Source organism: Homo sapiens, chromosome 3 (genome assembly GCF_000001405.40).
Source record: "Homo sapiens chromosome 3, GRCh38.p14 Primary Assembly".
In the NCBI taxonomy this organism is placed as follows: Eukaryota; Metazoa; Chordata; class Mammalia; order Primates; family Hominidae; genus Homo; species Homo sapiens.
Window position 1 is genome coordinate 62,318,992 of NC_000003.12, and position 20,694 is coordinate 62,339,685.

At 35.8% G+C, this 20,694-nt stretch overlaps 1 protein-coding gene across 6 annotated transcripts; it reads left to right on the forward strand.

Moving 5' to 3' along the window:
* Positions 1-30: 30 nt before the first annotated feature.
* On the forward strand, positions 31-17,222 carry CEP15 (centrosomal protein 15). Of its 6 annotated transcripts, none has more exons than XM_017006931.2 (6): positions 31-620; positions 730-841; positions 1,469-1,533; positions 2,939-3,062; positions 12,334-12,408; positions 14,264-17,222. In XM_017006931.2, exons 3-6 carry the CDS (start codon positions 1,481-1,483, stop codon positions 14,396-14,398), a joined length of 387 nt encoding a protein of 128 aa, XP_016862420.1. In that variant the 5' UTR covers positions 31-620; positions 730-841; positions 1,469-1,480; the 3' UTR covers positions 14,399-17,222. The 6 variants fall into 6 exon arrangements, with proteins under 6 accessions (XP_016862420.1, NP_065736.1, XP_047304587.1 ...); NM_020685.6 differs by having other exon boundaries at positions 31-241; XM_047448631.1 differs by having other exon boundaries at positions 31-177.
* The last annotated feature ends 3,472 nt before the right edge of the window (positions 17,223-20,694 follow it).

Consider the following 20,694-nt stretch of genomic DNA (forward strand, 5'->3'; position numbering starts at 1 on the left):
CGCTAAGGCCCCGGCGTCGGCGCAGTAGCTGGTGCCTTCCCGGAAGGGCTCAGAGGCGGGCTCGGTGAGTGGAGTCGGACAGTGGGTGGGTGCCCTGACTGCCTGACGGCCGCGCAGGGCCTTGCAGGACCGCTGGGGAGGATGTTGTTAACGTAAAGAGCCAGGCTGATGAGGAAGGTTCATGAGTCCTTTGGGTATAAGCGGGAGTTGGGGCGGCCGGAGGGCAGATGACTCTGAGAAGGTGCGGATCTTCGATTCTAAGGGGAGAATGTGATTTGGTTTTGTCTAAAGTGCTGATAGTGGGCCTCACAGAAAAGTTACCATGAACCGACTTTCCGGGATTCCCTTGGCGCTGCATTAATTGGCCTCGTTGCAAAAGGAAACCGAGAGGAAGGCGGCAAGACTTGGCCTGCGGGTGATGTTAGCGGAAAATATCTGTAATTTAGACCCCGGAGGGCGGGCCTGTGAGCGATTGCTGTCCGCGGTGCTGAAGGAAAGGCAGCCACGCCCAGAGGAGGAAACCTAATGAGGGCAGGGCGGTGTTTCCGTTTTCCTTGGCCGGGTTCAGCACCCTACACTCAATAAGCGTGGGCTTTCTAGCAGGACTGGACACTCAGGCGGTGTGTCAATCTTTAGACAATCTTTATAGAGTGCATAGATGTTTAATTTCATAAAATTTAGGAAAGCTTCATTTCAGGAAGGAATTTTATTCCTCTTTTTCTCCCTTAGGGCAAGCACTTTAACCTTTTAAGCCCAACCAGATGAGTTGCCTGCAGTTTTGGAGGCCTTCAGAGCATTTCACTAGACCTCTGTCTGTGTCGGTCCAGTGTCTTTAGCCAAGGTGAGCTTGCTCGTGGTGTGAAGTGTGCCACGAAAATGGGCTTTCCTGCACTCCACAAATGAGAGTGCTTAGCAGCCAGGGGAAGGGGAAGGTATCTATCTAATTGTGCTTTTCCTCGCAGTTACACATGAAAAGTACTTTCCTATTTAGAAGAGAGATGGTAGAACTGGGCACTCTTCCAATAAAGGAAAGACCTTGAATTTCCAGTTGGTTCTCATACTTGTTTGCCTGCCTTTCTGTCTATGTGTGTTTGCACATGCATAAGGGATGGTGTTCCTGTGTTGAATTTTACAGAGCAGATTTTTTTTCTGTTGATTCAATAAAACGTTTAGTAGTCTTAGTACCAGCTGCTTGTTTGTTTTTAATTCTGATTAAGGTTAGAGTCTAGAAAGAGAAGACAATATGAAATATGTTGGGTTTACCTAATTCATAGTATTCTTAGATGTATCTGGCATGCTGAATAAAAATGTGTTTAATTGCATCCTTTCATTTTATACATTATTACATCTTAAGTTTTCTTTTCTCTTCTGAGAGAACCAATGGATTAAGGTACTAAAATAATCAAATGTTGCAAAGCTGAGGACATGTGGTAGAAGTAACTTTAAATGTTTTTATTCTTTATGACAGCTTTGATTAAAGATGACTTCCTTGTTTGCTCAAGAAATTCGCCTTTCTAAAAGACATGAAGAAATGTAAGTTTTTTTAAAGGGATGATTCAGATATAGAAATTGGACTGGCTTTGTTAGTGAAATATTGTATACACAGGATGACTTAAAAATTTGCAAGCATGTCATTTTAATTTTCTGACACTTAAGAGGTTTTAGTGTTAGGGAATTTCATTGTTTCTTATGAATAAGCAAGATTAAAAGGTATGTTCTATGTATTTTTACTCTTTGTAAGTAATATATAGATAAATTTGCCCCTCCTCCCACCCTTTCTAGGCTCCACATTGGCATTTAATGGGCTTCTCTAAACCTCTTACACAGGGCTGGCTTCTTGGGTATGTGACTTATATACAGTCACAGGTCCTGCATTTGGTTTAATGCTCTCATGCCATTGTCTTGCATCATTTTGGACTGGACCCTGCAAATTGTGTAGCCAGTCCTGCTCTTTGCTTTGTATTATTCACTCTTTTCCTCCTCTGTTTGTGGGCTTTCAGGTTTTCCTTTTCTTTAATTAATTACCAGACGTTCTTTCCTTGGCTCCTAAGATACTTTCCTTACCAAAAAATTGACTGTTCATAGACCTGAGATTTTAATTCCACCTTTAAGACAGCCTGATGAAACACAGTGTTTCTTGAGAACCTCCACAACTATTTGGGAAACAGTTTGACTGTTATGTATACCAACGTATGTATCTTTTAATCATCTTACATATTGTCCTAAAAAGAACAAAAACATATAAAATAAGCATTTGACCAGCAAGAAACTTTTAAAGTATATTATATGTAACGAAGTAGTTTGAAGATGTTTACTTGTAATTTTTTACATCTTTCTTCAATTACTGTTTTACCTTGTTGTGAGTATGCATACATACACACAGCCTCTCACTCATATATCAAACCATCATCTTTCTCTTGGAAAAAGAGGGAAAAAATATTTTTATTGCTTCTTCAAACATATGGAAGTTTAGCACAATTCTAAATGTGTAACATGAGATTCAGGGGTACTGAAGTGTTAAGCAGAAGGTTTCATATAGCAAGTTATATCAATGTATGTGTGTCGGGAGGTATATATAACTATGTGTACAAAGGGATATGTATTACAGTTTGCATTTTCACCAAAAATTAAAACATATCTTCAACATTCTAAAATAATTTCAAAAGACCAGAGAGGCTAAAAAAACAGAAGCATGTACTTATGGCATATATAAAGAATATGTTAATGAAAATAAAAATAATTTTAACCAGATTGACTTAAGACTTATTGAACTACCTCAGATTTTTCACTGTCTTATTAGTCGACATAGTAATTGACTTTCAGAATAGGTTAGAGTTGAAGTGAGGTGCAATTAAGAAATGAATTTTTTATATTGGTCAAGCAGTAAAATGTTTGCTTTTACTTTTTTAACTCTATATAATCTTCGTTTTTTTTCTAGAGTATCACAAAGATTAATGTTACTTCAACAAATGGAGAATAAATTGGGTGATCAACACACAGAAAAGGCATCTCAACTCCAAACTGTTGAGACTGCTTTTAAAAGGAACCTTAGTCTTTTAAAGGTAAGTTTCCATGACTTGAATATAGAGATTTATCCCACCTTCTCAAAAATCTTTTAGGTAAGTTTCATAAAATTGATTTATATAACTTATTGGTTCTCAGTAATAAGTAGAATTACTAAAGCAGCATCTTTTTTAAAAGCCCATGTCAGTTAGATAAGTAGCATATGTATCCTCATTTTTTTAAATTAAAAAAATTGAACTTTGCTTAAGCTAAATGTTTGCAATCAACTAGAAAATCAATGACTACAGAAGGAATTGTAAGGTCACCCTTTTGCAAGAAGTAAGAAACAGAAGATGTACCTTTCCATCTTTCATCTTCTTTTATTTGAAAGGAAATCCTGAAAGGCCATAAAGTACCTATAAGATATTGAGAGCCAACTCACAACTATCAAACATCATAAAAACAAGAACAATTTGATTTTGTCTGACTAGGTAAACACACAGAATTCATATCTATGATAACAGATTTCCCAGCTCCCTCTTGATGGATATGGAGGAGTGGTCAAAGTGTATGATTGTGCGGGGCCTCACCATTTGGCCAATGTGCCCATTTGGAGTAGAATCATATGTGTAACATTTTTGGCTGCTTGTTATACTTTGCTTCCAGAATTGTATGGCTTCATCCATAATTAAAACCCTAAAGTTTGCTTCCATTCAAGCTTCCAAGAGATCCTATGACTAAAACATTTGGTAGTAAGACTATATTATTTAAGTTATAAAGCAGTGTTTTCAGTTTTTTATTGTTAAATATTTTCATCGATAGGCATGATATAGTTATCTTCTGTCCTCACTAGAGGATAAAGGAAGAGGAAAATTCAGTTATCTTCTCAGCTTCTGGCAGTTTGATCCACAGTAATTTAAGTCACAGCCATAGTGCTACCAAAGCATTCTATATTGCCATATGTCTTACTTGCCCAATGGTGTTAGCAATATTTATTTTTAAATGGAAATATATAGGATAATCTGGAATTTGCTCTGAAAAGTTAGAAAAACTAAATTAGAAGGCTTAATTGCTACCTACCTGCAGCACGTGATATGATATTTGGTTTTCAAGCATTTTCCTTTTAATGAGCAAGTATTTGATGAATGCTTAGAGGGTCCTTACTATTGAGCTAGTTCTGGGCAGAAAGTAGGGACAACAAAATAAGTATAAATCAGAGCTCTTGATATCAAGAACCCAGAAACTTTGTGTGATCAAACATTAAATTACATGGAATGGAGTCAGGACTACAGAAATAAGAGTTAAAACATCTTTGAGAGCTAGAATATTCCAAAAGGTCTCAGAGAAGAAGCTAAGCCTAGCCTGTGTTTCAATAGGCAGAAGGCAAGGCATACTGTTGGATTCTTACAAAAGAGCCAAGACCAGAAGACTGACCTTGTTAATGATCCTGGGAGCGTGACTAACTAGCTTAGAAATTCACAGGAAACAAGGTTGGATATGTGTTATGGGACCAAAGAAGTTGAGACTTGATATATAGACATAATTCAGTACTGAAAATGACTAAGCAAAAGGAAAATATAGACTTATATAAGAAATAAATGAGTGGGTATTTAAGAAAGATTCATTTGCTATTTAGATGCAAGATGATTTCAAAAATGGAGAGAACAGTGTTCAGAAGGGTAGCTAAGAAATCGTAGTCATACATATATAAGGAACATAATGAACCTGGTTTCATAGTTATGAGAAACTTCAATTTGGTATGATTTTTCCCCTGATTATCAAAGTAATATATTCCTACTGTAAAAAAAATTTTTTAAAGTGTAAAGTAGACGAAATAGCATACCTTCCATATCATCCTATTGATCTAAAATTAATACATTTTTGTATATTTTCTTTCAGTACTTCAATAAACATTTATTGAGCATCTATTATATCACAAACACAGTGCTTGCTGCTAGAGATGCTGCCTCTTCTCTTTTTTTGCATTCTTTGAGTCATTGCATATGCAATTTTTAAAATCCTACTTTCCTCGTATGTTTTTAAACTTTGGAAAGAATTTTAGTGGCTCTACCATAGAAGTCATTATGAAAGTAAAATAAATGAGACTTAGCCGGGCACAGTGGCTCATGTCTATAATCTTTGGATTACACTTGGGGAGGCCAAGGCTGGAGGATCACTTGAGCCCAGGAGTTCAGGACCAGCCTGAGCAACACAGCAAGACCCTATCTCTAAAAAAAAAAGTTAAAAAACTAGCTGGACGTGGTGGTGTATGCCTTTGGTCCCAGCTGCTTGGGAGGCTGTGGCAGGAAGTTCCCTTGAGCCCAGGAGTTCAGGGTTGCAGTGAGCTATGATCATGCACTGCAGTCACTGAACTTGCAGCCTGAGTGACAGAGTGAGACTCTGTGTCTGGGGAAAAATAAATAAATAAGACTTGATTGCAGAATTTTGAGTTGGTAGACACTTTAAAAATATGTATATTAGATTTGATTCTCATGTAAAGGTATTTAACTTTTTTTAGCACTAAAACTTCTTTCATGTTAAAATAGATAGAGGTGGACCTGCTTTGGGTCAAAGCCTCACTGTTCAGTCTTTCCTTGACTGCCCAGCTGTGGCTTTAAGCAATTGTGAAAACCACTGATCTGGGCTAATTCCTTAATTTAAAGATGAGGAAACCATAGGGCAATTACTCCTGATAAACTTGTTCAGGACAAGTTAAGTTACATCTAGGACAGGTACTTCAGAAGTACAGCCTACACTTTAAAAATGGTTCCAATAAAACTTGAAAGCATTTCTGTAATAAGAGTACAAAATATGGATGACCTCTATTAACATCCATTATTTGACCTTATTTAGATCTTCTGACCAATATAATAAACATTAAAAAGGAATGAGCTTTCACTTTTGAAAAGGAAAGTATAACACTAGCATTTTGGAATGATATGGTTATATACTTTAAAAAGCCAAATTTGTTCTAAAAGTAGTATAATATGAGTTAAGTAAAACTGATGGATAAAAGATACAAAAATCAATAGTAATTCTATGTATACAACTGGAAAATATAAGAAATGAAGTTCACATTAGCAATAAAATTCTAAAATACTTGGGAATGATCTTAACAAGGGGTTTGCCTGATTGGTGTGAAGACAATTATTACACTGAAATGGAAGATTTAAAAGAAAACTTACAAGGAAACATATGCCTTAATCCTGACTAGGAAGACTATTGTTTTTTTAAAGTCAGCTGTTACACATACCCTCTGAATTGAGTCTTTGTAAAAACTAACATAAAATAAAAAAACAGCTATCACAAAATTATTTTTAGATTTAAATAAGTTCCAACAGAATTTGCCTTGAACTCAATAAAATTTCTGTAAATTCCTTTGGAAAGTAGCAGGAATATAAAATATCAAAGAATGTATTTTAAAAAGGAGCAGTGAGGAAGAGACCAATTCCATCAAATATTTGAGCATATTAGTAAATGAATAGATATGAATGTAGGTAGTGAAGAATAGGCTTCAGTCAGTAACTATCATAAAAGATAGTGAACTTTGAAAACACAGGGTGGGTGATTTTTCCCTGTTAGTATTAGTAAAATGGAATTTATCTGCCTTTTAAGAACATAACAGAATTGGTATAGATTTGAAAGAGAAAGAGAAAATTGTGTTTTTTATAAATACTGCCACACTGTAAGCTGACATCTCTCCCCACGTACCTACCATAAAATTTAGTTTTATCTAGAAAGGCAATTGTGTAAGTAGGGCCAGGTGCGGTGGCTCACGCCTGTAATCCCAGCACTTTGGGAGGCCAAGGCGGGCAGATCAAGAGATCAAGACCATCCTGGCCAACATGGTGAAACCCCGTCTCTACTAAAAATACAAAAATTAGCAGGGTGTGGTGGTGCGCGCCTGTAGTCCCAGCTACTCTGGAAGCTGAGGCAGGAAAATTGCTTGAACCCGGGAAGCAGGGGGTTGCAGTGAGCGAGATTGTGCCACTGCACTCCAGCCTGGGGACAGAGTGAGACTTCGTCTCAAAAAAAAAAAAAAAAAAGGCAATTCTGTAAGTAAACATCACCTCAAGAGTAAGCTCATGAGTAAGCTGGACAAACACTCCGGGGTGAGAAAGAATGAGAAAGTGCTGCAGCCGGTGAGAGAATCCTTCCACTGAAGAATGCCCTGGAAGCCTTTATGGGGCAGTTGGCAGTTAAACAGAGACTTCAACAAACTGCCATCCAAGATGGTCGGTGACTTACAGGACCCTATCTCTCCTTTTTCCTTCTTACATTTCTCACCTCCGGTTCCTTGAAGAATATGTTTAATAAATGCTTACATTGTACCAATGACCCTGTATCTCATGCTTTAGTATCTTATTTTTTCTATCCCAGAAATTGGCCCTCCAGCAGATTAAAAGATTAAAACCAGCCTGGCCATAGCTGGATTCACTGTATATATTTATAGTGAGGTATTAGATTTCAAGTTTTGGAGGAAGTGGCATGTATAGGGATGGGAAGAGAAAGAGATCTCAGCATGTGACTTTCTGTGCTCATATTTCACCTTTCCTAATCATGAATCAACTCATTTAAATATAGCCTTCTCAATTCTGCCATAGAGTAACATTTATACCATCATCCACACTGGGAACTTGTTTTTTAACTGTTATGAAGAGTTTCAAGCCTATATAGAAGAGGGAATGGAAGAATGTACTTGCATGTGCTTATTACCCAGATTCAATAATTATCGAAACATGGCCAATCTTGCTTCATCTATATACCTCATCCCCTTCCCCAACCACTCAGATTATTTTGAAGGTATTCTCCAGAAATCATATTGTTTCACCTATAGCTATTTCTGAATATATGTATTTTTTCTGTGTATATCACTAAATTATAAGGACTATTTTACTATTTTAAGCAAAATCACAATACTATTATCAATAAGAAATTACCACTAATTCCTCAAGTATTCAGTCAGAGTTCACATTTCTCTGATAAATCTGTAGGCATGTTTACATTTGTTTGGATTAGACTCCAAATAAAATCTAACATTGTACTTGATTGATAAGTCTCTAAAAGTATCCCCTGACCTTTTCATCCACTTTTAATTTATGTGTAAAGGAATTAGGTCATTTGTCCTATGCGTTTCCCAGTTTGGATATTGCTAATTACATCTCTGACGTATCATTTTGCATGTTCCTGTATTCTCCGTAATTCCTATAAATTGATCTAGAGCTGTGCTGTCCAACAGAAATATAATGTGAGCACATATGTAATTAAAATTTTCTAGTAACCACTTTTAACAAAGTCAAAAGAAACAGATGAAATTAATAACATTTTAATGAGGCATGTACAAAATATTATTTCAAATGTTTCTATCAAAAATTCGTAATTAAATATCCCATATTCTTTTTCTTACTAAGCCTTCTGAATTCAGTGTATGTTTTGCACTTACAGCACATCTTAGTTTGGACTTGCCACATTTTTAGTGCTCAGTAGCCACATGAGAAGTTCTAGAGGCTGGATCAGATTCAGGTTCATTGTTTGGGGGAAGAACATTTCCATAATTCCTGGCTGTCTCTCATTTTGGAACGTTGGCAGTCATTGATGATCATTGCCTAGATATATTCATTAGAAGTTGCAAAAAGAATATTCAAATTCTTTTATTCCTTCTCTTTCAATAGCTTGTAACTTATATGAAGAGAATCTTCCCCTCATCACTTACTTGATTACACTGAAGTACATACAGTTCATGTAGGAAAAGGTATGATGACTGGTGAACACTTTCTCTATAGCTTTCAAAATCATAGTTTGGTTCTCTGGCATCCTCTAATGGTGACGAATGAGGTGGTATTTTGTTTTTAATTTATCTGGGATTTGCAATGTTTCGATCCCTTGCAATTTTTGTTCTTATTTATGCCTGATGTGTCCCATTTTTACTATGGGGAAGCCTCTTCAAGTTAACTCTTGAATGTCTTTGACATGATCCTAACAGTCTTTGATAGTTTCTTTTCTTTATGATGTGATAAGTTATTCCAGGCTCATTGTGTGCCTTTGCTGCCCAGACCTGGAATTGGCCATTGCTCCAAGAAGCCCTGGTTCCTTTTGGCAGGAAATATATTTAGATCTCTCAATCTGGGCACTAGGAATGTTTATTGCAACTTGTTTTGTTGTTGTTGTTAAGATAAAATACATCAAGAGCTCATAACAGTATCTCCAATTCAATTGCACGATTGCAGATTTAAATTAAAATCGCTGATCTTATGCATCTAACCTTCTTTTTCTAACACCAAAAATCTGTTTCCAAAGAATTATTCTATGATACAGGCATAGCTATCACCAATAATATGATTACTGAGAATGGTTTTCAGTAAGATAATTTTTACAATTTCTTTTTGTCTCCAGGGTGTACCCCCACTAGGGGTGTCCAGTCAATACTGTGTTCTAAGAACACTTGATGTAGCTCTTCTCTGTGTGGTTATACCACCAACTACATAATAGTTAGATTTGTCACATTTGGTTTCCATTTTGGGGGGAATTGCTTTTTTATTTGTCCTATAACTATATAAAATTTTAAATGTTCTAGTGGCAAGTCTATAAGACAAAGAAACAAAGTATAGTCAAGTAAGCATTGCCTCCCTTTTCGCCCCCCTTTTTCCTTTGCCTCTGCCTGCCTTGGATACCTTTTTTTAAAAAAAGTTTTGGTTTATAATCAGGAAACTTTGACATCTTATTTATGCATTTAATGAATATTTAATGCCTAGTACATGCCCTGCACTTTGTTAGATACTCAGATGCATAAAGGTTGTATGGGACGCAGTCCTTACCTTCTGGTAGTATATAATCAAAGGAAAGGTTCTTATATGGAAGTATTAGGGTATAACTGGCTACAGAAGGCTAGGATCAAATTGCGAAGTTTTTTTTTTTTTTTTTTCAGTCAGGCTAAGGAATTCACACTTCGTCCTCTATGTAGTGGGTACTGATGATTTTTTAAGTCTAGGGAAAGACATATTCAAAGTAGTTCTTTAGAAAAATGAATTGATCCCCTCTTAGGTATAGTTGGAAGTAAAACAAGACATACTCTAGGCATGCATCATAGAGTAAGTACTCCTCAAGTATTTGTTGAATGAATAAGTGTAATAATAAGGCCATAGCATTGGGAATGAAATGGAAAGGCTAGGAGAGATATCCTGAAAGAACAATTTATAAACCTTTGAAAATTTAAATGGCAGGTATAAGAAGAGTTAAAGATAGAGTATAGAGCATAGGTATCTGAGGGAAGAGAATTCCCACTATTGTTCATTCATTATATCCAGTAGGAATAAGATGAGCTTAGTTTCATTTGGTTGAGAAGTAAGGGCTAGGAAGAAAGGTTAGCCATGCCTCTACAGTAAAAGTTATTAAAGCTAGATAGACCACAGTCTTGAGAGAGATAAGGTAAAAATAAGAGGACAGCTGCCACAGATCTTAAGAAAGCTCACACTTAGGAACAAGGAGAGAAAAATTAGCGAGCTAAAGAGGAAGAAAGGTAGTAATCAGAGGTGAGCATGTCATCTAAGAAAGCAAATATCTCTTAAGCTAAGGAAGAAGTTTTTCAGAGGGCTGATCATTTATAGTCAGAATGCTGCAGAGGTAACAGTCAAGTGTCTAACCATAGGCCTGCTTTACCAGGCCACATGTCTCCTATTTGTATCTGCTTTTCCATTTACAAATCTGCTCTCCTGTAAGAGAGATAATAAGTATCCTTATTTTCTGGTCTTCAAGAAAAATGCTTATAATATTGTCTACAATGCTAAGTGGCGCCAAGATCTGCCACTAACAATAATCTTATAACTTCTTAGAATAATGACCATAATTGGACTTGTGATTATTTTATTTGTGTTTATTTGATTTATAAAGGTAAAAAACATGTTTTCCAGGACCTTGTAAAATCTCGGTATAATCGCACAAATGTTATTAGGCTTCTGTATCTGTCGTAGTGTCAGCATCAAAAGCTCTTTAGCAGGCATCTTAGCTATTAACTTCCGGTATGGGATAGACATGCTAAAAATCAGCTTTTTCCCCTAAATTCATGGCTTTTTTCCTTCAAATCACCTTCCTCTAGACAGCAGGTGCATTAATGGTTGTGCAACTTTGGGGAGTCCCTTTAGGGAATTTCCTGTTTTTCCCTTTTACATTTCACACCCATTCCTTGCTCCCGCCGCTACCATCTGCTATCTCTTTTCTCCTGTTCAGCATTGGCTCCTTCACACCCCACTCCCACGCCCTTTTCCATCTCTCTCCGTCTGTCCAACAGCCCTCTACTTAGATTGCTCCAATGCTTGTACAGGAATCAGAGAACTTTCTCTTTTCTATCAACTCACTAAGCTCAAAAGAGAGACAAAATTTATATGGCCTGTGACCAAGGCCACTGTGAACTTGACAGACATAAGTGGGAACAAGACAACATGGGTGCTGATTTTGGGAGCATTTATTAGACAATGCTCAAATGTTTCACTAAAAATTTGCGGAGTCCTGCATTTCTGGGCATTTACTTCATGTATATATCAAGATAAGAATCTTTACCAGGGTATGAATGAAGTTTAGTTACCTTGGTGTTTTTACAGCTATAAGAGAAAATACACATATGTACAAGTAAAACTACACATTAAAGCATGGTGCTTGAATACTTTCAGCTGAATGACATACTAGCTAGCAATAAAACTTGCTATTGAAATTAGCTTAGAAAGCTAGTACTAAAAAAATCTAGACAGTATAATGAAAAGGTTCTTGTCACTAAGTACTGAGGTATCTTACTGAGCTTCCATAAATATATGTAATATTTGCATATATATAAATTTTTAAATTGAACATTGAATAAATGAAATGTGTGCCATTGATACACTATTTACATCATCTGGAGAGACTAGAACTCTTCACTTTTAAGATTAGCACAGGGTGGGTCTGAGTATCTGACTATTTTTGTATCTGAATATTTTATTATTTTATCATCTTTCTGGCTGTTTTTTAGTGATGTAAGAGCTAAATTAATGCACTGAGCAGTATTATAAGACACTCTTGGTGCATGAATTACTGACATTTACTAGCTATTCAAAAGTGAAAAGGCAGAACTTAGAAGTACCACCTCCCCCACCCCTATCAAAATAAGAAATGCTGTATTCTTTATCTGAAATGGATTAATTGAACAATGATCAGTTTTCCTACCATAGTGTGCCTCCATCCATTCAGATTATATCCAGAGAAGAGTTGAGGTGAGAGATTTGGGATACAGATATTGCTAGTACAGGTGCCATTTGTTTTATGTAAATCCACTTTAATATAAAATGCCGATATCTGTTACAGGATATAGAAGCAGCAGAAAAGTCACTACAGACCAGGATTCACCCACTTCCACGGCCTGAGGTGGTTTCTCTTGAGGTGAGCATCTTAAGGAACAAATGTAAAAAGAGAGACCCTATCTATCTATCAGTAGTGCACTACAAGTTAAACAATGGTTATGTGTATTTTCCAGATATATTTATTCAGTAAATTAAAGAAGATATGCCTGTTTGAGCTTTTTATGTCCACAGTACTGTACTTTATACATAGTAGGTAACTGAGAAGTATCTTGATTTTAAAAAGTTTAGCAGTTGGAAATTTTATAAAGATAGGGATCTTTTCACCTTGTCACTTAGAAACAACTATCCTGTTAAACCATAACAGACAATATGCACTAAATCATGAGATGACAACACGCCTAACTCAAATGCTTTTGCTGCTTGCTGATGTTAGAAGTAGCAGTTTAGTCCCTTCACCAAAAATTTAACCATAGCTAATTAAATGCATATTATCATACAATATAGTATGGCTTTTGTCTGTTTTATTTTGTTCAGTTCAAGAAGAGATTGGGAAGATGGTTAGCAAAAATAAACTATATTTGGTATATGAATATGTTTGTGATGAATGGGAATTTACTACATATGGAATAGTTTCATTTTGTATTTTTAATGACCTTTCTCAAATACAGTTTTGCTTTCTCCCCAACTGGGGATAAATAGACTCAAAATTAGAGGCTGAGAATTTTCCCCTCAATTTTCTGTGTCATCTAGGGTAATAAAACAAGGCAGTGATCAAGGATACAAAAAACTCTGGTACAAAGTTGTGTCTTGGACATGCTTTTTCTTTGTTTGATTCTCCTATACCTTACTCTGGCATATACAGGACCCACACAATGGGAGTTACTCCAGCTGTGAATGTCAGGGAAACTCCCAACCACGGGCCTCAGATGGTATTTTTCTTAACTAGTCTTTCACAGCAGGATGACCTTTACTTTATGTATGTCAGGCTGTTTCTCAGACCACATGCATGGATATATAGACATATAGAATCCCTCACCATTTTCAACTTTCAGAACTGCTGTATTTAATGCTTGGAGTGAATATTTTTGTGTTTCTAGTGCTATCTCATTGGCTGAATTTCCAAAAATGAGATTGATAGTGATGATCTAATATCAGTTGCCCTCCTATGACACAGGGCTTTGGGCAGTTTAGTTCTCTTTGACCTCCCTAGGGCAGTCACCCAAGAAACCAAAGCTAGACACAACACAGCAATGTTTCATGAGCTTCTAAAGCCTATAGACTTCTACAGTCAGACCAATAATACAGCATCTCAACTTCCAAGCTATTTGTATTAAAAATGGTTAAATTATATTGACATTTTGTCATCACAAAAATGGGGAAAAATTATAGTGGATATATATTTCCTACACAATTAAGGGTCCAATATCTCTAATTCCTGTACTATAACACACTAGTTGTATTTCAGTTCCTGATCTCATCCCAGGTCAAATCTTTTGATGTTAATCCTGAAGCATGATTTATGTTTGATAATTTCATTGTAATAATTTCAGTATGGGGTAATCATTTGGTATGGGATTTGGAATATTAAACAAAAACATTTAATGATTATATCACCATAAATGATACTATTAGCAATAATCATGAAGTTGGCCACAAGAGGGCGTGTAAAATCACAATAAAATTCTAAAACCTGTAATTCTGCCAGGCTCTGGTTTTACTGAGAAATTTGAAAATTAACACTAGTAAGTAGCCAGATTTTTTTCTAAAATTAACATAAAATATTCTGTAGAGGAAATGCATTCTACATATATGTGTGTGTGTGTGTGTGTGTATACACGCATACACACTCTTAAGTGAATAAACATTTAGACTATTATGAAGAGCCAAGTTCAATTGCTTGATATGCTTTTTTACTTTTGGATTTTTTTTTCCAGACTCGTTACTGGGCATCAGTAGAAGAATATATTCCCAAATGGGAACAGTTTCTTTTAGGAAGAGCACCATATCCTTTTGCTGTTGAAAATCAAAATGAAGCAGAAAATACCATTCAAAATGAGGCACAGCGATAACTTCTTCACATGCTATTTCAAAAAGCCTGTTTAATAAAGCTGAATGTTAAGGTGTATGTAGGTTATTGCAGGAACTTTAGGAATTAAATATGTTCATATTCTTCGATTATCTCCTAAGTGACAGTGAAGATATGAGAATTTACTGGCAAGTCACATGTTATCACCTACTACTATTTCAAGGTCATGAATTTGCTTTCTACCAAACCCATAGATGTGTTAAACACGAATATTAAAAGGTGGACTCTTTATTAATTAAATTATTGTCAGTGTTGTGAGTGTGTTGCTTTAAAAAAAAAAAAATTTACAATCATTCTCCTCTAAGCAGGTATCTTGGTTCTGGTTTTAAGTTAAGTTTTTTAGAATCCTTACTTTTTAGGGACAAGGTATAGGATCAACATGGTTCTTTTTTTTTTTTAAACCATTATTGTTTCTTTTAACAAATTAAAAGACAATGACACCTAAACTGCTCTAGCAAAATAACTTATGAGAAAATAAATTCATAGGATTTTGTCCCTCACAGATAGCCAAAGCTCTGCAAGTTCTGGAGACAGAAAGAACTGAACTATAAAGCAGTCAATAAGTAGCCAGTTTCAGGAAGACTCAGACTTGGTTTTGAAAAAGGATGCCTTTTAGAGCTGGGAAAGGTTATTGGATTTTGACTTGGTTATTTAAAGATTGCCAACCTTGTGAATGCAAATAACCCCACTCTTGTCTTTTCATCTTTAAACTTCCCCTTCCCGCTTCCTTCTAATTTCATTATTCCTGAAAAAACTGTCAGTCAGAAAGCGTTGGGTCACAACCCTAAACAGCTTTGAGATTCCTCAGTCCACCACTGCTTGAGCACTTAAAAAAAAAAAAGAAAAAAAAAATATGTATATATAACTTTCCAGCTATAGAGGCAGCCTCTGCTAGTAAAGGGTACCTATGCTATATTACAATGAAATGTTTTAAATTTCAAACTGGTTTATGTTTTTAAAAGAAGACAATAGGAAAAGCTAAATACACAGCAACAACAACAACTATATTGAAACGTCCGTTGTGCCGATAAGTTCCTTTAAACTACCATCTTGGAAATATCCTGTTGAGTGGGTGTTGGTGTGGGTAACAATAATGTTGTTTTCATAATATGTGCTGGCAGATTAGCACACTTCTCTACAGTGTTAACAGTTGTAATTAAGGAATAAACAGCACAGGGTGTCAGTCCGATGACAATTTCATCTATAGTGTCACAATACAAAATGTCACAAAATATTAGAACTGTTATATAACTATAAAAAGTATCAGCTTAAAAGCTAAAAGCCTTTGAAAAAAGAAGACAGAGGAAGGAAGAAAAAAGAAAACTGGCATAGCAACCAGAACAATTTTATACCTTCTCAAGAATGTTCTGTCATGAAAATAAATTGATAATTTTTTTCTGTTACATTACAGTTTGGTTTCTAGCCATCCAGTTGATTTAGCAGGAGAATGCAGGTTTTTTTAGCAGCTTTGAATTGGTAAACAGATTTAGATGTAGTAGAAAGGAACATGAGGAAGTTGTTTTTTTTTTTAACATCCAATCTTTCCCAGCATATGCACATAAGAAGGTGAATGAAGCAATGTGAAACTTACTTCTCTTTAGTCAAGTGAAAAAAAGGCTAAACATTTGTTAGATGGTAAAATATTGTGTCAAGCGAGTAGGCAAATTCCAAAATTACACAGTGGTTGATACATTAACATCCTCAAATATTTGAGCATGCACTTCCTTTGAGATCTGTAAATTAAATCACCAGTGGGTTAGATAAAAATACAAAACAAATGGCAATCTAACCATCTCAGAAAAGGTTCAGGTTTTTTTCTCCCTAAAACTGAGAACTTGCTAAATAATTTTTGAAAAGCATAAACGTAATACACCCTGGGTTACGATCGAGGGCAGAAGGGAAGGCATTTCCAAGGCTCCTGCTGTAGTGTTTTTCCCATTTTTGTTAATACCTCAAAAACTCCCAGAGATGACTTTATTCCTGGCCCCTGCAGAGCTCCCCTCCCCACCCCCACCTTGTAGACTGTAACAGATTGCACCACATGGTGTCTGTTTAAAAAAAAAAAAAAAATTCCCATAGGGACCTGGATATCCCATTAATGGGCTTTATGTTCCTCATGGCAAATTAGCTTTACACAGGAATTTCCAAACATTGTTTTCTGTTAAGAAGGGAGGAATACCATATATAATGTATATTTTTTCTACAATTAGTAGGAATCAGACAAGGAAAAGGAAATGTCATCTATTCATACCTTTCTCTCCAAATTCAGTGTTCTTTCCATATGCTCCATTGTACTCCACCACTCTTCTCCATGAAAACTATGAATTTATGGTTTTTTTTTAGAAAAATGGAGTTTTCAAAATGAAAGTCAAATAATTTTTTCCAAAGCCGTTTGTGGACTGTTGCAAATGCATAAATATTCAAAGCTCATTTTCTGCAGAAACACTTCTGGTATATGAAATTATTAAACTGTAGAATGCTAAAGATCAGAAGAAGCTACAGTTTTTCTTTAAACTTGAAAAAAAATTAAGAAGTATTAAGGAAAAAGCTTAATACTCTGGAAACCAGACATCTGGTCTTTCTCATGCGTAGGGAGCAGTGTGAATGAAAGTGAAGTCAAACGGACAGTTTTTTTCTGCATTATGCACAAGGTGTTTTAAATTGTCAGCTTAAGGTTTAGATGAAGATAATCTTTAACTTTGTTTACAATTTTTGCTATTTTGCATTATCCCCCTTTTTCCATAAAAAATAAAGTGAATATGTGTGCATATTTATTTTGAATCAAAATTAAACTTATTTTGAGATTATTTTGTCACTTCTGAGATAATTGGAGACACGTGTGCACGTGTGTGTGTGTGTGAGAGAGAGAGAGAGAGAGAGAGAGAGACAGAAACCAAGGGTTGCTGTCACCAATTCAAGAGGAAGATACTAAGCTTTAAACCAACTGGGAAGTAGGTTTTTAGTGTGTAAAGTTAATGCGCAAGGCCATAAATTTGGCTTATCTACAAAATATAGTCTTCCCTCTCCTTTCATTAGTGTATTAATTTATCTTTTTTACTGTAAGCCAATTCACATCTTTTTCTTTTTAAGCTAGTCTTTTATTTAAAACACAATAAAGTTTTCAATCCCGCTAAGGAGTTCCCCACCTCCTTTTCACACACTGCCCAAATATGAAGTTAATAGCTACATGGTTTAAAACACTATACATTTCAATAGTCACCTATTTTTTTAAACCTATTCCACTGTAATTAGTATAAAGAGATATCTTTTTTAAAGAGTTGCTGACCAAAACCTATTCTTCAGAGAAGGTAATAACCAGGTGATGAGTTCAAGCAGAAAAAAACAAGTCTGGAAAATACGTAGGAGAAAGAGAAGAGAAGAGATTACTTTGGGAAACCTTCAAGTTGGAACAAGGGTCCCTCCCACCCCCATCCCACCCCATGTGTTTCTAAACACGTGTTTCTCTTATAATTTAGAAGTTAATTTGTCTATATGGGAAATTTAATTCCCCATTGTTAATAAAAGGGCATTTAGAGTTTTCTGGGACAAACATGGGGATGTGTCAAACTTTGGCAATTAAGAAGAGGATTGATTTGTGGATTTGACACCTGGCATTGTGATCTCCCTTTCTAACTGGATCTGAGATTATATCCTTACTAAAATCCAAGAAAAGGAAAATGACTTCAACAAAACCAGAGGCTCAAAATGCTTCCGGACATCACTTTACCTCACAGAGTCAAGTTTCCCTACTTCCAAAGAAAAGGGACCAGGTCCCCTAAGTTATAGTAATGTTTTAAAGTTCTTGCTATTTTAAAAACTGAAATTCATGTCTCAGACAAAGAGACTGAGAGTCCGCAAAGTAGTATCTAGATTGACTACAGTAAAAAACAAGAAATAGTTGCACTGAGTGGAAACAATGAAATGTTCTCACTTTAGACAGTGATGACTTAGTTTCTTTTTTATGTGACTGGTCATTCAGACTCCACTGTAAAACTCAAAGGATTTTTTGTTATTTCTCCCTAAATCTAGGTTATCAAAGTAGAAATTTTTCTGATGTTTTATACAATACCACTTTGGGACCAATGCAGTCACATTAGAGGGAGACAAAATTCCTTTCATATATTTTGTCTAGCACATCTCTAGCTTCTTTCATCTCCCAGTACCAATTAATTATTTTTCATACCTTGTTCCAGACATTTTTAAGGTCTGTAGAACTTACAAGCATTTCCTTGTACTAGAATACTCCAGCCTAGTAAAAACAATACTAAGATGTTCAAAAGAAGCCAAATCTAGAGCCCTTTAAAATGATACCCAATAAACACAGAGGTAGAGAACACTTGGACACCATTGATTCATTCATTCATTAACAGATCTTATTGACTGCTTTCTGTGTAGCAGGCACAGTTCTAAGCACCAAGAATACAGCAATGAAGAAAACAAAACAAAACAAAAAACCTGTGTCCTCATAGAATTTACATTCTGGTAGAGGCAGCAAGTAGAGGGGGCTAAAGGCAGACATAAACACCAGAAGAGTAATATGTGGTATATCAGATGGTGAGAAGGGCTAATATAGTATGAACATCTAAAATGTCTTAGTACAAGAAAATAAAGCAGACTTTTGTAATTTTTCAGTAATATGATAGAACTGAGAGTCTCTTTTCCTATTCAAGGATCTTGAGTTGGGGTTTTCCAGTGAAGCAGCATTTCCACTGCTTCTTATTTGTAAATTGTGCAAGCTTAATGAATAGGTTTATGATAAAGGATGAAAAAAAATTCTCAGTACTTCAACAGATGTTTATACACAAACGTCCATAGCAGCATTATTCACAATAGCCAAAAGGTGGAAACAACCCAAATGTCCACTGATGGATGAATGGATAAAATGTGGTGCCTATATATATGGCGGGACATTATTCGGCCTCATAAAGGAAGAGAATTCTGATACATGCTACAACATGCATGAACTTTGAAGATGTATGCTAAGTGAAATAAGCCAGACACCAAAGGGCAAATATTGTATACTTTCTCTGATACGAAGTACCTAGAGTAATCAAATTCATAGAGCGGTAGTTGCCAGAGGCTAGGGGGGAGGAAGAATAGGGAGTTAGTATTTAATGGGCATAGAGTTTCAGTTTGGGAATATGAAAAATATCCAGAGATGGATGGTGGTAATGGTTGTACAGCAATCTGAATATCCTTAATGCCACTGAACTATATGCTTTACAATGGTTAAAATTTTTTATATTCTGTGTATTTTACCATGATAAAGAAGTCCTTTACTAAACATAACCTGAACACTTCCATATTGTAAGCGATTTGATTTAAATCTTATTTGTGATCATATATAAGCATACATATAAGCAAAGTTAATTCCTTCTAGAAAATGTCTATAAACATTGTCCTCCATGTTTTCAAATTAGTTGAATGTCTGCCTTTAGAAAGGTTGGTGTCCTGAGTTTTTGGTTGGTTTGTTTTTGTTTTGTTTGTCTATGAAACTCCTTACAAACAAGCTTCTAGTCCTGGTTCTGCCATTAACTGCTGTTCAGTTTCTTCAGTGAATTGAATTGGACCTCAATTGTCTAACAGAATTTTCTGCAGTGGCGGAAATGTTCTATAACTGCGCTGTCCAATATGGCAGGCACTAACCACAGGTGGCTATTAAGACTTGAAATGAAGCCAGTGCAACTGAGAAACTTAAATTTTATTTAATTTCAATTATTGGAAAAATGTTAAGTATGCCTGGGACAACTTGGGCGTGTGAATCTACTTTTTTAACTTTAAATTTTATAAAATCTCAAAAGAGATCAAGTATTCCAATGAAAATTTAGCATCCCAAATGGAGGTATGCTATAAGTGCAAAATACACACTGGATTTCAAAGACAGTGATACAGTTTGGCTGTGTCCCCACCCAAATCTTATCTTGAATTGTAGTTCCCATAATCCCCATGTGTCATGGGAGGGACCCAGTGGGAGGTAACTGAATCATGGAGGCGGTTTCCCCCATGCTATTCTGGTGATAGTAAGTCCTCACAAGATCTGATGGTTTTATAAGGGGCTTCCCCCTTCACTTGATTCTCATTCTTCTCCCTGCTATCATGTGAAGAAGGATGTGTTTGCTTCCCCTTTCGCATCATTGTAAGTTCCCTGAGGCCTCTCAGCCATGGTGAACTGTGAGTCAATTAAACCTCTTTCCTTTATAAATTACCCAGTCTTGCAGACGTCTTTATTAGCAGCATGAGAATTGACTAACACAGACAATAAAAAAGATATAATATTAA

Coding starts and splice junctions, on each gene's coding strand:
- CEP15 (XM_017006931.2), top strand. CDS start 1,481: ATGACTTCCTTGTTTGCTCAAGAAATTCGCCTTTCTAAAAGACATGAA. Junction 1,534..2,938: donor TCTAAAAGACATGAAGAAAT/GTAAGTTTTTTT, acceptor TTTTTTTTCTAG/AGTATCACAAAGATTAATGT. Junction 12,409..14,263: donor CTGAGGTGGTTTCTCTTGAG/GTGAGCATCTTA, acceptor TTTTTTTTCCAG/ACTCGTTACTGGGCATCAGT.